The 14,430-nt window shown below is 44.2% G+C and overlaps 1 protein-coding gene across 10 annotated transcripts in view; it reads left to right on the plus strand.

Moving 5' to 3' along the window:
• TMEM132B (transmembrane protein 132B) overlaps positions 1-14,430 on the plus strand; it is a 475,992-nt gene that overhangs the window by 199,297 nt on the left and 262,265 nt on the right. The window contains exon 1 of one of the 10 annotated variants that reach the window (XM_047428244.1): positions 5,503-5,574. The exons of the other annotated variants lie outside the window; for them this stretch is intronic. The gene's annotated coding sequence lies outside the window, so the exon portion shown is untranslated. Of the gene's footprint in view, positions 1-5,502; positions 5,575-14,430 lie in introns of those variants that run through there. 10 annotated transcript variants of the gene reach the window in all.

Here is a 14,430-nt window from a genome sequence, read left to right on the forward strand (position 1 = left end):
AACATAATCAATTGATCTAAACAACAGTCTAGTGAATGCCAGGGGCTTAATGTATTTTTTATTGAAACCATGGGAGGTGGATCAGTGTTACATAATATTTCTCATATGGGATATTCATTAATTTATTAGTTCAACAAATATTTGAGTGTCTTATATTTGCCAGCCATTGCTTTTGCACTGACTAGATAGTTCTCTGATCTAATGAGACTTATATTCTAGTAGGAGAGACACAGAAATCCTTGGTATTTTGGTGTTTATGGTGGCCATTTTTTGTGAATTAAACAAGTAATGAAGTGCTTGTTTGCTTGTTTGTTTGTTTGTTTGTTTTGAGACAGGATCTCACTCTGTTGCCCAGGTTGGAGTGCAGTGGCAAGATCAAGGCTCACTGCAACCTCTGCCTCCCGGGCTCAGGTGATTCTCCCAGCCTCCCAAGTAGCTGGGACTACAGGTGCTCACCACCACTCCTGGCTTGTTTTTGTATTTTTTATAGAGATGGGGTTTCACCATGTCAGCCAGTCTGGTCTTGAACTCTTGGGCTCAAGTGATCTGCCTGCCTCGGTCTTCCAAAGTGCTAGAATTACAGGCATGAAACACTGTGCCCAGCCATTTGTTGATTTTGAATGCAGCAAGAGTCTAGATGGACGCATGGTGGGAGGGAAGTAAGGTCAGATGGCTTTCAAGGAGAAAAAGTGCCTGGTTACGTATGACTATGGTCTAGATGTGGGTCCACATTGGCACCATTGGTGTTTTATGAATTAGGGAGTGGCATACTGTGATTTTGTAGCAATGCCAGCTAATGAAAAATACCTATCACACATGAGCAAATTAGTAGATTCTTTTTGCATTTGCATTTTTTGCTTTTTCACTGGGTTTGTTGCATTTTTTCTTCTCTACTTGTTCGTTTGTTACAGTTTAAAATGCCCATGGAGGCAAGACAAGGAGTGAGCAGGCTGAATAAAGTAAGACAGGCATATCCAAAGAGCCGTGGGGAGCTAGAGAGGGAAGAGCAAGTGCAAAGACTCTGAGATGCAAATAATTTTGGCTTTTAGGAGGAATAGAAAGGTTTTTCCTGGATCCAGTGAAATCTGATTGAGTTTCCTGGTATGCAAAGATAAGAACAGTTCACCAAATGCATGCAGCCTGCTGTTTTGATGTCTCACAAAGAAGTGTGATGATCTGGCTAATGTTGCACAAGGACCTGTCAGCTATGTTAGAAATAAATCTCACACTCTCTAAAACCCAGAGCTTCTTTACTTTGTATTCCTCTGGGTGTGTGGTACTCATAGTTAGTCTCTAAAGGCTGTTTTTGAAGTGATGACACACAGTTAAGGACACTGAGGTACAGGGGAGATGTTGTCTAAGAAAAGTGGTTCTGAAGATCCCCGGCAGCATTATCCATGATCTTGATTGACCCAGACAGAAAGAAGTCTTCTATCTTAAAAGTATTTGCCTCTGCTTTTTTCTGGGGGTGGGGCGGGGAGATGGTGGGGGGGTGGGTAGATTTGTGATCCATTGCATAGGAAGTCTCTCTTCTGAAAAAAGGGGTAAGAGTTTTTTGCTTTTATTTTCCAAGTCCCTGTCAATAGCACTGTAGCTTAGTCCACAAGCACAGCTAGAAATACTGGACCCTTGAACACAGTAACTCAAATGGGTTGAGTTGTTTGTCCTCTGGTTGTTTATTAATGAAAGAATAGTTGGGTCTCTTATCTGTGTGCAGTGGACAGACTTTGCCCTTGCAGGAAGGTGAATCAAGGCAGTGCCAACTGGAGCTTGGTCTTCTTGGTCTTTTGTGTGTCCCTACATAGACCAGAAGCCCCACTTCACATGTCACAGGTCTGTAGCCAACAAAGTCTTCCCTCCTTCTGTAGGTTGAAAAGCTATTGTGGATACCTTTTATGGGAACAGCATTGGAAACAGCTTTTGAGATGTGCAACCCCAGTTTGTAAATACCACCTACCTTGTTGGTAGTCATTTATTGAGCTGCTGTACCAGGCTCCAAGTAGGATATTGGAGGTTTAAAATAAGAAATGGTGGTGAATTTTAAGAAGCTTGTTACTGAGATGGATAAACATCTGTCTCCATCTTCCATCCTCCTGTTTATTAATTTATCCGTTATCCATCCATCCATCCATCCTTAACTAACAGCAAAAGGCAATGTAAAGAATTCTGGATACTGAGATGAACAGAGAGTGAATACTAAGGGAATTCAAAAGAAGGAAAAGTCTTCGGGGGTCAGTACTGTTGTGGAATGATCAGAGTCTTTGACTAGAAAGGAGGAGTCTTCTCTACAATCTGCTCTTCTGTCTATGGGTTTGATGTTTGGGTTCTGAAAGGCTGGTAGTGTGGCACAGATGATAATTATACACGAGGCATGGAGGGCTGCATAACACAGGATTTGGTTGTGGGGGAGGTTGTTAAATCTCCTTTTCCAGAGGCATTTTGGAAACATAAAAACCTATTGTCGCCCGGGTGCTGTGGCTCACTCCTATAATCCCGGCACTTTAGGAGGCCAAGGTGAGTGGATCACTTGAGGTGGGGAGTTCAAGACCAGCCTGACTGACATAGTGAAACCCTATCTCTACTAAAAATACACAAAAGTAGCTGGGCGTGGTGGTGCACGTCTGTAATCCCAGCTACTTGGGAGGCTGAGGCAGGAGAATTGCTTGAACCCAGGAGGCAGAGGTTGCAGTGAGCCAAGATCCCACCATTGCACTCCAGCCTGGGCAACAAGAGTGAAACTCCATCTTAAAAGAAAAAGAAAAACAAAACAAAACAAAAACCTGTTGTCCCGTATGGTTTAATTGCCAGCTTCCTTCAACCTGGGCCATAATTTGAGCTGATCACTCTAGTTGGAGCATTGTGTGTTGGTCAACAGTCTGTCCAGGAAATACTCTAGGCCAGGATGGTGAATATGCAGCAGAAAGTGCCAACCCCGGCACTTGCTTATGGCTCATAGAACTAGTCACAGCATTCTCTTCTGCTGAACCCACAGGCTGCCTCAACATCTTTTCCAGAACAGTGTTCCAGGCACCCAGGGCTGTTTGACTGCATAGATACACAAGGTGAAATGTCTGCCATCCCTGCTCGTCTTCTGGCTCCTGCCCCAGCAGCTATTGCACACATGTGGATATTGTTTCTGAAAATCAGAACTTTTGTAGCATCCTTTTATTCATTCTTATTTTATACTTCATTGCATTTTATCCTCAAACTACAAAAGCAATTCCTACTAGTTACAAGGCAACAACACAGGAATTGAGGAAGGAAAAGCCAAGATCTCTCCCATTCCAGCCTTTGTCTTTCTATTGCCCCTCTTTTCTTCCATATTTTCTGTACACACACACACACACACACACACACACACACACACACACACAAACACACAAGATTGATAAATCTAGTTTTTAAAATTGGGTGTTGAGGATACAGCTATGAGCAAGACAGATAAAAGTCCTCAGGAAGCTTGTATTCTAGCTGGAGATACAAACAATAAATAAGTAAGCAAATAATTAAAAGAAGTATAATTTCAGGGAGTACTAAGTGTTATGCAAAAATTAAAGCAGGATGTCAGGATAAAGCATAATGGGACATGAAGAATATTTTAGATGATGTGGGCAGAGAAATTGCAGCTCCTTTCCTCCCCCTCCTCCTCCCTCCCCTCCCCTCCCCTCAACTCCCCTCCCCTTCCCTTCCTTTTCATCCTTTCCTTTGCTTTTCTCCCTTCCTTTCTTCTTCCATCCATCCTTCCATAATTCATCACAGATATCTCTTCCTGCTCTCTAGCCCTAGAGCCACCACACTTCCTGGGCTTGAATGCTGGCTCTGGCTCTTGTTAGCTGTGTGATCTTGGGAAAATTACCTAAACTTTCTGTTCCTCATTTTCCTCATTATTAAAACTGAAGATGGAGTTGTTATGATAATTAAGAGAGATACTATAGAGCCTAGAACAGAGCCTGATACTGGAAAGAACTCAGTAAATATTAGTGGCCATTTTTGGTTGTTATTGTGGCATTCCATCAGTTCCATGCAGCAGCTATAAGCCAGACCTGTGGACATGTGGCAGGGTTTCTTCTAGATACATTGGCAGTCTTTTAGCACCACTGCTCTCATAAGTAGGGCACCTTTGTAAAAAGAGGCCTGATCTCATAGCCCTATGGTACCTTGCATATAATAGGTGCCTCTCAAGTATTTTAAAAGTTTAAAGAAAACTTTATATAGACATATACCCACAGACAGTAAATGCACAGATTCCAATTGCATAGCTCGATGAATTTTTACAAAATGAACAAACCTGTGTAACTGTCACTCCGTTCAAGAATCGTAATGTGACCAGCACCTCATAAGCTCCATATGCTCCTTCCCAGGGACTCCTCTCCTCTCCATGGTTACTGCTGTCCTCACAACTAGTACCATTTGGAATATACACAAATCCATGACCCAGCAATTCCACTCCTAGCTAAATATTCAACAGCAATTCACAAATGTGTTCACCAAAAGACACACACAAGAATGCTTATAGTGGCATTATTTATAAAGGCCCCAAACTGGAACAACCCAAGTGTCCATCAACAGTGGAATGGATGAATAAGCCACAGTATATTCATGCAGTGAGAAAACAAACTACTGCTATATGCAATAGCTAGGTTAATATTGGTAAACTTAACGTTGATCCATAGAGACACATGGTTCCTTTTCTGTGAAATTCAAGAACAGGCAAAATGAGTCCATGGTTTTAGTAGAAGTCTCTAAAACCTTTTCATTTGTAGTGGCTTAAAAATACGTCTACAAATTCTTTGATACTCCTCACTTCATGAGGTGAAGCTGAGTTCTCCACTCTGAATGTGGGCTGGATTTGGTGAGTCACTTCTAACATATAAAATACAGCAGACATGAGGTTGTGTGACATCTGAGACCAAGATGTAAAAGCATTGCATCTTTCTCGTTGTTCTGTCTCGGATCATTTTTTCTGGAGGAAGCTGGCTGCCATGTTGAGGATGCTCAAGTAGCATCTAAGGAGAGGGCCACATGGTGAACTGAGGCCAATAGCCATTTGAGTGAGTCACCTTGGAGGTGGATCCTCCAGCCCCAGTCAAGCCTTCAGATGACTGCAGCCCCCATACCATGACTGAAACCTCGAGAGAGAGAGAACCACCTGAGTCAGAGCCATCCAGCAAAAATGCTCTTGAATTCTTGAAACTTTAAGAGGAAAAATATTGTTTTGGGGTAGCTAGGGTTTGGAGTGATTTGTCATGCAGCAGGAGGTAACTAACCTATTCCTCTTTATCCTTTTCAACTCTGGGGTCTGCACTAAAGAGTTATTTTTTTTTCACAGCAGGATTAAAACAGATTTACTAAAGAATAGTGTGTGTGTGTGTGTGTGTGTGTGTGTGTGTGTCTCACTATCAATAATTGAACTTTACTATGTCAAATGTGGTGTTAGGAGATTGTGTTCCTGGACGGAGAAAAATGATCATGGAGGAGAATTGTTGGGATGGTGAAGGAGCAGAAACTCCTCAGAGAATGCCTTCACAGAGTGCCCTCAGGCTGCAGGTCATCCGCGGTTAAGTTCGTGTCAAGGTATGTTGCCTGCTGGATAGAGCTATACAAATGGAAGCTCTTGTTAGCAGAGAGCACTTCTTTTTTAGGTTGAAAGCAGAGGTGGCTCACAGAGACTTGCCCTTAGATTGGGGCCTGTGGGTGTTAGTTGCCAGCTTTCCATAGCCTCTACCTGCTCAGCTACTCACCTTTATATCACTTGCCTGGTCCTGGAGGCACTTGAGGTTACTACCATGGATCTGAGTAGATGGGACATGGGTAGCCTTTTGAAAGCTTTCCTAGCCGCAAGCCTGGCAGCAAAGTAGCAGAGACCCTCCCCTACTCCCCTGCAGACCTGCAGGGGCCATGGGAGCCACCATGTGGGATGTCTCAGGGGCAGTCTGTGTGCGTGGACAGTGGAAGTTCTGCTTGCGTTCTGCTCCCTCCCATCTTTGTCCCTACACAGAACCCCACAAGTATATCTCCTCCCAAACCCTAAAAGAGAGTACAAAACCTCAGGAGGGATTCCCTCCAGTTAAATTAAATTAAATTAATTAATTAGTTTTTTGAGACAAGGTTTCACTCTGTTGCCCAGGCTGGAGTGCACAGTGACATGATCTCAACTCACTGCAGCCTCAACCTCCTGGGCTCGTCTGGTCCTGCTGCCTTAGCCTCCTGAGTAGCTGGGACTACAGGCACACACCACCACACCAAGCTAAAATTTTATTTTTTGTAGAGCTAGGGTTTCTCTGTGTTGCCCAGGCTGGTCTCCCAACTCCTGAGCTCAAGGCATCTGCCTGTCTCAGCCTCTCAAAGTGCGGGGATTACAGGCATCAGCCACTGTGCCCGGCCTTAGTTTTATTTTTAATACCAGCCTGGCCACATAGGACTGAGAATCAAAATTAACTTGGATTTTAGAAAGTAAAGAAAATAATATTTTTTTTGAGTTTATAGACTGAGAAATATACCTACTACGTGCTTTCCTCTCCATCCCTGGGTTGGGAGACGAGGGGCAAAGTGGAATAACATTTCCATCTTACCTGAAGGCTGGAAGCTAGTTTAGTGGGGACAATTTAGCTGGTGTGGTTAAAAATGGGTTGGAATAGGAGATATGTATTTAGTGCTTGCCGTATGCCAGGTCAGGCACTGTGCTGTGTCATGGAAATACATTCACTCGCTTAATGCTCAAGGCTGCCATCCAAGTGGGCACTGTTATCCCCACTTTCCAGACATGGAAACTGGGTCTCAAAGAGGCTAAAATAACTAGCGTTGGGCTACGCAGGTAGAAAGTGGCAGCACTTGGCTTTGAACCTAGGCATCGGGGTCTGGAGGTTGTGCTCTTAGCCCCTTCATGATGCTGCCTTTTTGGGTACTTTCAAAGGGACCTCAGTAGGGGGAGGTTTGGGGCACTGCACCTGACCAACAGCCAAGATCATACCAAGAAAACCCACGTGGCTGAGGCCGGCTCACCTCCTGGGAGGAGTTGCAGGCTGGGACCAATAACCACAAGACCACTAGGCCAGCCCTGGCTCTGCACTACACACTTGTGTGATTGTGGATATGTGAATGATTTCTCCGTCGCAGTGTCGCAGGCTTGCATGAGGAACACCTGAGGTAATATGTGTGAAAGTACTTGGCAAGTATTCAAGTGGCAATTGGATGTGAGGTGCTGTTAGTGCTGTTCCTCCTGAGTGATGGGGGAGGGTACATCAGACTGAGCCCTGGGGGCCCCGTGATCCGATGCCAGCTTCCCTCCTGCGTAGCCTGCCTCTGTGCCCACATTTGCAACAAGGGCTCCAACACCAAGTTTTACTGGAGACCGTTTGCGACTAGAAGCCATGTCAGTAAAAGAGAGAGGCATAAGCACCTTCCTTCCAGGAGCATCTGCCTTAGCTTGAGAAGCCAAAGTAGCTTTGCCTTTGATATCAGTTTGTTGGTTTCTTTCTGTATTGGATAAAGCCTGGCATTTCAATCACAGGGACCTGCTGCATTTTGGGTGTTTGATTGATTAATCTGAGAAGTGCATATTGAGCATTGAGTGGGTACAAAGCATTGTATGAAGTGGGAATGATACAAAAACCTAACAAGATATGTCATTTCTACTGTTATGGGTCTTAACTGTTTGAGACAACCACAATGTATATGAAAACTTACACAGGTGATTATTTAGTATTAGTTGTGGTAAATATGAGGAAGGACAAATAGAGACGCAATACAAGAAAACAACAACAACAACAACCTGGTTTTGTGTACCTGGGAAGGCTTCCTGGAGGAGGCATCAATTAAGATGAGAATTGAAAGATGGATAAGATTATCCAGATAATTGGGGGTAAAAGGGCTGGGGGGTGGTGTGAGCTATAAAGGTTTCAGGCATAGCAAACGGTATATGCGAACACCCACATCAGTCGGGGTTCAGGCAGGAACAGCTGGCACACCTCAAAGAGAACTTAATGAAGGGGCTTTTGATGAAGATGGAGGCGCAGTCAAGGAAGCCAGCCAGGAACAAGCAACAGTGGCAAACAGTGATGGCCCTGGCCCAAGGAGGCGGAGACAGGGAAGTGAATTATAGTGATATGGAACAGTGCTTCGTGCAGGAACTTCATGGGACAAACCCAGGCACTGTCACAGGAGGAAGAAGCTGGGGATAGGAATATCTCAACCTCTCTTTTCTCACTGTCTAATCTCCTACTGTCTCTCCTATTGGTTGAACCCAACTGGAAGCCAGAGAGAGGACGAAGGAGCCTCTGAGTAATGCTGTTCATAGCTTTCAGCCTCTAATGGTACAGGGCAGGGCAGAAAAGTCTAGACAATGGATCTGGAGGGGCAAACAGAGAACAACCCATATAGCCAGGTAGGAACTGAGAAAGACCAGTAGGAAAGCCTGGAGCCACAAGCCTAAAGAGAATTCAAACAGCACCCACTAAGTGCTTAAAATTCAGTTCTCAGAGGACATCAGTGAGGTGGCTACTATGATTCCATTTTACTGATCAGAAAACTGAGGCTCAGAGAGGTTAAGTAACTTGCCCAGCAGATAAACAGTAGAGCCAGGATTTGAATCCAGGCAGTCTGGTTCCAGAGTCCATGCTTGACAGATTTTGGACTTCTTCTAACAATAGAAGTGATTAGGGGAGAGCGTTAAGGTGGGCAGCGACAGCTTGGGATTTTGAGCAGACCACCTGGTTGCTGCATGGTTTGCAGCAGTGGTTGCAAATGATACACATGAGGATGATGGCAGTGACATGGAGAGACACTCGGGACTTATTGATTGACTTGGGTGTCAAGTGGGCGACAGGGTTGATCTGTAGGTTTCTGGTTTGAGTGCTTTGAGGTTGGCAGTCCTTTCTCAAGGGGGACAAGAGAAGTCATTAGTTTCCTTTTTATTTTGGGTGGGTTGATATCTTGAGTTCAGTTTTTGGACAAAGTAAGTTTGATTTTCCTTTCAACTTCTAAGAGATGATTTCAAGTATTCATTTGGCTATGAATCTGGGACTTGGAAGAAAGTTCTGTGCTGTAAAAATAAGTCTGGGGATCATCATAATATGGAGGCCATTATCCTAAGTGAAGTAACCCAGAAACAGAAAATCAAATACCATATGTTCTCACTTCCATGTGGGAGCTACAGTGGGTCACATGGATGTAAAGATGGAAATAATAGACACTGGAGACTCCAGGAGTGGGGAGGTTGGAAGGGGGATGAGGGTTGAAAAATTATCAATTGGGTACAATGTTCAGTATTTGAGTGATGGGCACACTAGAAGCCCAAACCTCACCATTATGCAATGTACCCATGTGACAAACCTGCACAGGTACCTCCTGAGTCTAAATTTTAAGAAAAAAATATAGGTGGCAAATAAAGCTGTGAAAATGGATGTATGTATATGTGCATGTGTGTGCCTGTGTGTTTCTTGGTAGCTGTGAGGACCCAGGCTAGTTGAGAAGTCTTCATGGACAGGAAATATCCAGTGCATCAGGGTGAACCGTTGAGTGTGTCTGGGTTGGAGAGGAAGAGGTGAAAAAAATTCATTATGGCTGACACAATGCTTTAAATTACTGTGATGAAATGATTATTAGTCACCTGAAAGTTGATATGACCAGACATTTTACAAATAGCAGGTTTGACTTCTGTCAATGAGTTTAATTCCATAAAAGGTCAGGTTATTTTGAGTTATGAATTGAATTTTTGTATCTTAGCTTTTTAAAATTAATATTTATTACCAAAGTGATGGATATGACAACAGAGGATCTCTGATTATTTCCATAAATTCCCTTTATTTAATATTTGCTCTCTGTGCTCACAAGGGCAGTTGAAATATTGAACATCCTTCCACCATCTGTTCTCTTGTCCTTGGATTACAGACGGTAAAGTTATGTGTGTATCTTCTGTGAACTTTGAGAGGGTTTTATCTGGTCCTCGGAGTGGTAGAAATGTCAGAGCCTGATTGTTTTTTGTCAGTGAACTTTTGATTGCAAATAGAAGACACCCAACTCAAAGTGGCTTAAGGGTAATTTCCTGGCTCGTGTAATTGAAGAGTTCGAAGAGAGTCTCAGGTCTGGCTGGATCCAGACGCTGAGATGGAGTGGCCAGAAAGCAAGCTCTTTCCATTAATTGCCTCTGCATTTCTCTGATGGTTTTATTCTTAGGCGGGTGGTAGACTCTTGCAGTGCTTATTGCTTAGTGGAGAGACAGCTGGAATCAACAATCCCTGACAAATCCTGAGTCACATGTCTACTTGTGAGCCAATCAACTGTGGCCAGGGAATGGGAAAGTCTGATTGGCTTGGTTGGGTCAAATGGTTCCTCCTTGGACCAATCACTCTGTCAGGAGGACACAATGCTTTGATTGGCCACATACATACCAATCCCTGAAACCAACAGTGGAGTCAGCCCAGCATGAACTACCTGGACTGAGTGTGAGTGTGGCTCCTCAATGGGAAATACAAGCACTGTGTAGGAGTAGGGGCTGGATGCTGGGCAGTTTCCATTAATCTTTCTGGTCTTATGTGTGTGGGACAACCAGGGTTGGGAGTTTGTTGGATGATTCTCACAGTAGTTTTTCTCTAGTTCTCAGTCTTCCCCTGAAGCATTTTAGCACCAAAGGATGATTCTTTTGGATGTCAGCATTTCAGTCTAGGCTGGTTTATGAAGGGGACAGCACTTGGACACTCTTATCACCCACATCATCATCGTGAACACTGTATAGTACTAATTATATGCCAGGCTCTGTTCTAAGCACTTTGTATATACTGTCTCCATTTAATCCCTGCAGTGACACTGTGAGGTAGGTACTATTATTTATTTGTTTGTTTGTTTGTTTTTGAAATGGGGTCTTGCTCTGTCAACCAGGCTGGAGTGCAGTGGTGTGATCATGGCTCACTGCAGCCTTGACCTCCTGGGCTCAGGTGATCCTCCCACCTCTGAGGTAGCTGGGACTGCAGGCACGTGCCACCACACTTAGCTAATTTTCATACTTTTTCTGGAGATGGGATCTTGCTATGTTTCCCAGGCTGGTCTCAAACTCTTGGGTGCAAGTGATCCACCTGCCTTGCCCTCCCAAAGTGCTTGGATTACAGGCATGAGAGCCACCACACCTGGCCAGTACTGTCATTAATATGCCCAATTTTACAGGTGAGGAAACAGAGGCACAAAGAGGTTACATGACTTTTCCACGTTCACACAGCTAGAGTCTTGAATTCAAGGCAGACATACAGCTTTAACATCACTGTTGTAGAAATTATGCCTACAGTGGTCTTAACTTCACTATTCTTTTTTTTTTTTGAGACAGAGCCTTGATCTGTTGCCCAGGCTGGAGTGCAGTGGCGTGATCTCGGCTCACTGCAATCTCCCCCTCCCAGGTTCAAGCAATTCCCCTGCCTCAGCCTCCCAGTTAGCTGGGACTACAGGCACCCACCACCAGGCCCGGCTAATTTTTTTGTATTTTAGTAGAGATGGGGTTTCATCATGTTGGCCAGGATGGTCTCCATCTCCTGACCTCGTGATCCTCCCGCCTCAGCCTCCAGAAGTGCTGGGATTAGAGAAGTTGTGCCCAGCCAACTTCACTGTTCTATGTGTCTCTTCGGACTGCCTGTTTCTTTTGCACACAGTAGGTTAACGCCTGACAGGTAGCAGATACTTGGCAAATAGACCTTAAATTAAATGGAATGCCTCCCAGACATATTTGAATCCCAAAGCCCTGAGACTCAATCTTCTTTCCAAATCCTTTTCATTTCAAAAGCATTTTTAGTTCTTAATTACTCTCCATTTACAAATCCCAGGTTCCCATGAAACACTATTACCCTACTAATTGAATCATGAGAAACCCTTTATTGGGCCCTGAGAAAATATCAACTTCCCTACCTCCTGCCAAGTGTTGGTCATGGTGTGTATATATTTGTGTATTTAATGATTTTGCTGTGAGAGAGATGCACATTGTCATTAACTTATTTTGTGGAGCATAAGGACCAGAGTCCATGGTTGAGAATGACAGAAGAGAAGACTTTCTGCATTGGGGAACCTCTGTCATGTCAGAATTTAGATGTGATCTGAAGGAGGATTGATTTTCTTGTTAGGAACCAATGCTTGGGGCACCAATGCTTGGAGCTATGAAAAGAAGTGAAGTGGATGAACAAAGCACATTCCTGATAGTGGGACAATAACGGACTTGAAATTGTGGCAGGTGTTGATTTCATGACAGTGACACAGAATACCCAGTGTTTGTAGGAAAGTTGCTTCCTGTTCTGTTTACATGCACTGAGAAAAATAAGAGTATGTCCCACATAGTGACAAGGACAGAACAGTTAGGGAGCATCAGCAGCTCAGTTCAGGGTCCAGTTTGCTTGGAAAAGATATCATCGGCATTTGCATTGGGGGCAGGCAGGGGTGGGCATTATCTAGAGAGGGACTGAAAAATCTACCTAGAGTGTTCTCCATGGGAGAACTATTGGCATTGGATGTGGGATGAGACTTTTCTGTGCACTGCAGGGCATTTAGCATCCCTAACCCTAATCCTCTAAATGCTGACAATCCTCTTACCTGCTTCCTGAGTTATTGGGAAATCCCAACTACCCCTACTCATTTTTATATATGTGCCTTCTAGGGGGTGGTATCTCATCGATTGAAAACCATTGCCTGTAGGGACCAGGCTGGTAGCATAAATGATCAAAGAAGACCGATGTGAGAAAACAGTTGACATAGATACAGACACAGAAGTCTTTTCATTTCCTTCTAAGTCAATGCAGAGAAAAAGCGTAGGGTAAACGCAGTAATTAGTAGCAACCAGCAGTCAGCCTCAGTGTCAGGGAGGCAGTAGGGACTGGCGGTGGGGGGGATGTGGTAACTGGAGAGTGGGCCTTGGCTGATGGAGCAGCTGCTGCTCAGCTCAAGCCCATTGTTACTGGGCAGGAATGCAAGTTCAGTGTGGTCAAGTTTCAGTAAAGTCAGAAATCTGGGTTTTTATGTGAAATTGTCTGATGCTTACATATTGGCTATCAAATTGAAAGTTTTAAGACATGGTCTAATTGTTATCTATTGGTGAGTAGCAAAATCACCACAAACTTAAAGGCTTAAAACATCACCCATTTATTATCTCATCGTTTCTGTGGGTTGAGAGTCCAGGCATGGCTCAGCTGGGTCCTCAGCTTTGGATCTCACAGGCTGCAGCCCAGGTGTTGTCTGGGCAGTGTTCTCATCTGGAGGCCCAACTGGTGAAGAATCTGCTTCAAGCTGATTCAGTTGTTGGCAGAATTTATTTCCTTTTTGTGGTATGGCTGAGAGCCCTGGATTTTTGCTGGCTGGTGCCTGGAGGCTGCCCTCTGTTCCTAGAGCCCCACTTCCCCCAGGTTATTGTCACATAGGTCTTCCAACCTGACTGCCTGTTTCTTCAAAGCCACCCAAGAAGATAGTTCTAGTCAGTCAGCTAGTGAGATGGTCTTATAAACCTAATGTGGTCATGGAGTGACATTCCAGTGCCTTTGCATTATTTAATTAGTTACAAGGAAGTCTCAGTTCCTACCCACACTCAAGGGAAACAGATTTACAAAGCTGTAATCATCAGGAGCCAGGGATCGTAGCAGATCATCCTAAAGTTTATATACACATACATATGGCATGTACTGTCACCAAATGAGTGGCTAAGTAAAACATGCCGTAGGCTGGGTCCACTTATTTTGTGCTAGGTTTAGATACTTGGGGCCAAGGCAGAGTTTTGGACTTGCTTATCTTGTTGCTGTGGAAGATGTGAAGAAGGAAGTGTGTGTGTGTGTGTGTGTGTGTATGTGTGTGTGTGTGTGTGTGTGTGTGTGTGTGTGTATTGAGGGATGGGCTATAGGAGAGGCATGGAATGGATTATCTCTCAGAGACTCTAGAAGGAACCCACCCTACCAACACCTTGATTTCAGACTTCTGGCCTCCAGAACTGTGAGAGCGTAAGTTTCTCTTGTTTTGAGTCACCAGTTTGTGGTAATTTGTTACAACAGTTCTGGGAAACTAATACAGCTAGCATAGAACAGGAAAGATCCAACAGGCAGCTCTGGGGTAAACTTACTCTGTTATATTGGCTGTGGAAGGTGTTGAGGTTTGAGATTGGCTAAGCGTCTATGAAGCTGGAGTCTGGGAAGAAAATATTGCATTGTAGAAGCTATCATTTGGTTGGGGAAACAACATAACGACTGTCTCATTGAGGCATAGGCAAACAGGTTGAGGATCAGATCAGCTTCACAGGCTGGATGGAGCTTCCTGCATACATGAACCTACTGCTGTTTTCACACTCAGAGCTGCCTTGGATGGGGTGGAGCAGACATTTCTACAATTGTAGCTGCGATGATTGTTCTTATCTGTAGTTCTCTCTTGCTTTGATGGGCTCCATTGCCTACAAATCACCTCTCCCAGTTGCTGATACCTAGC

This window comes from Homo sapiens, chromosome 12 (assembly GCF_000001405.40).
Source record: "Homo sapiens chromosome 12, GRCh38.p14 Primary Assembly".
Lineage (NCBI taxonomy): Eukaryota > Metazoa > Chordata > Mammalia > Primates > Hominidae > Homo > Homo sapiens.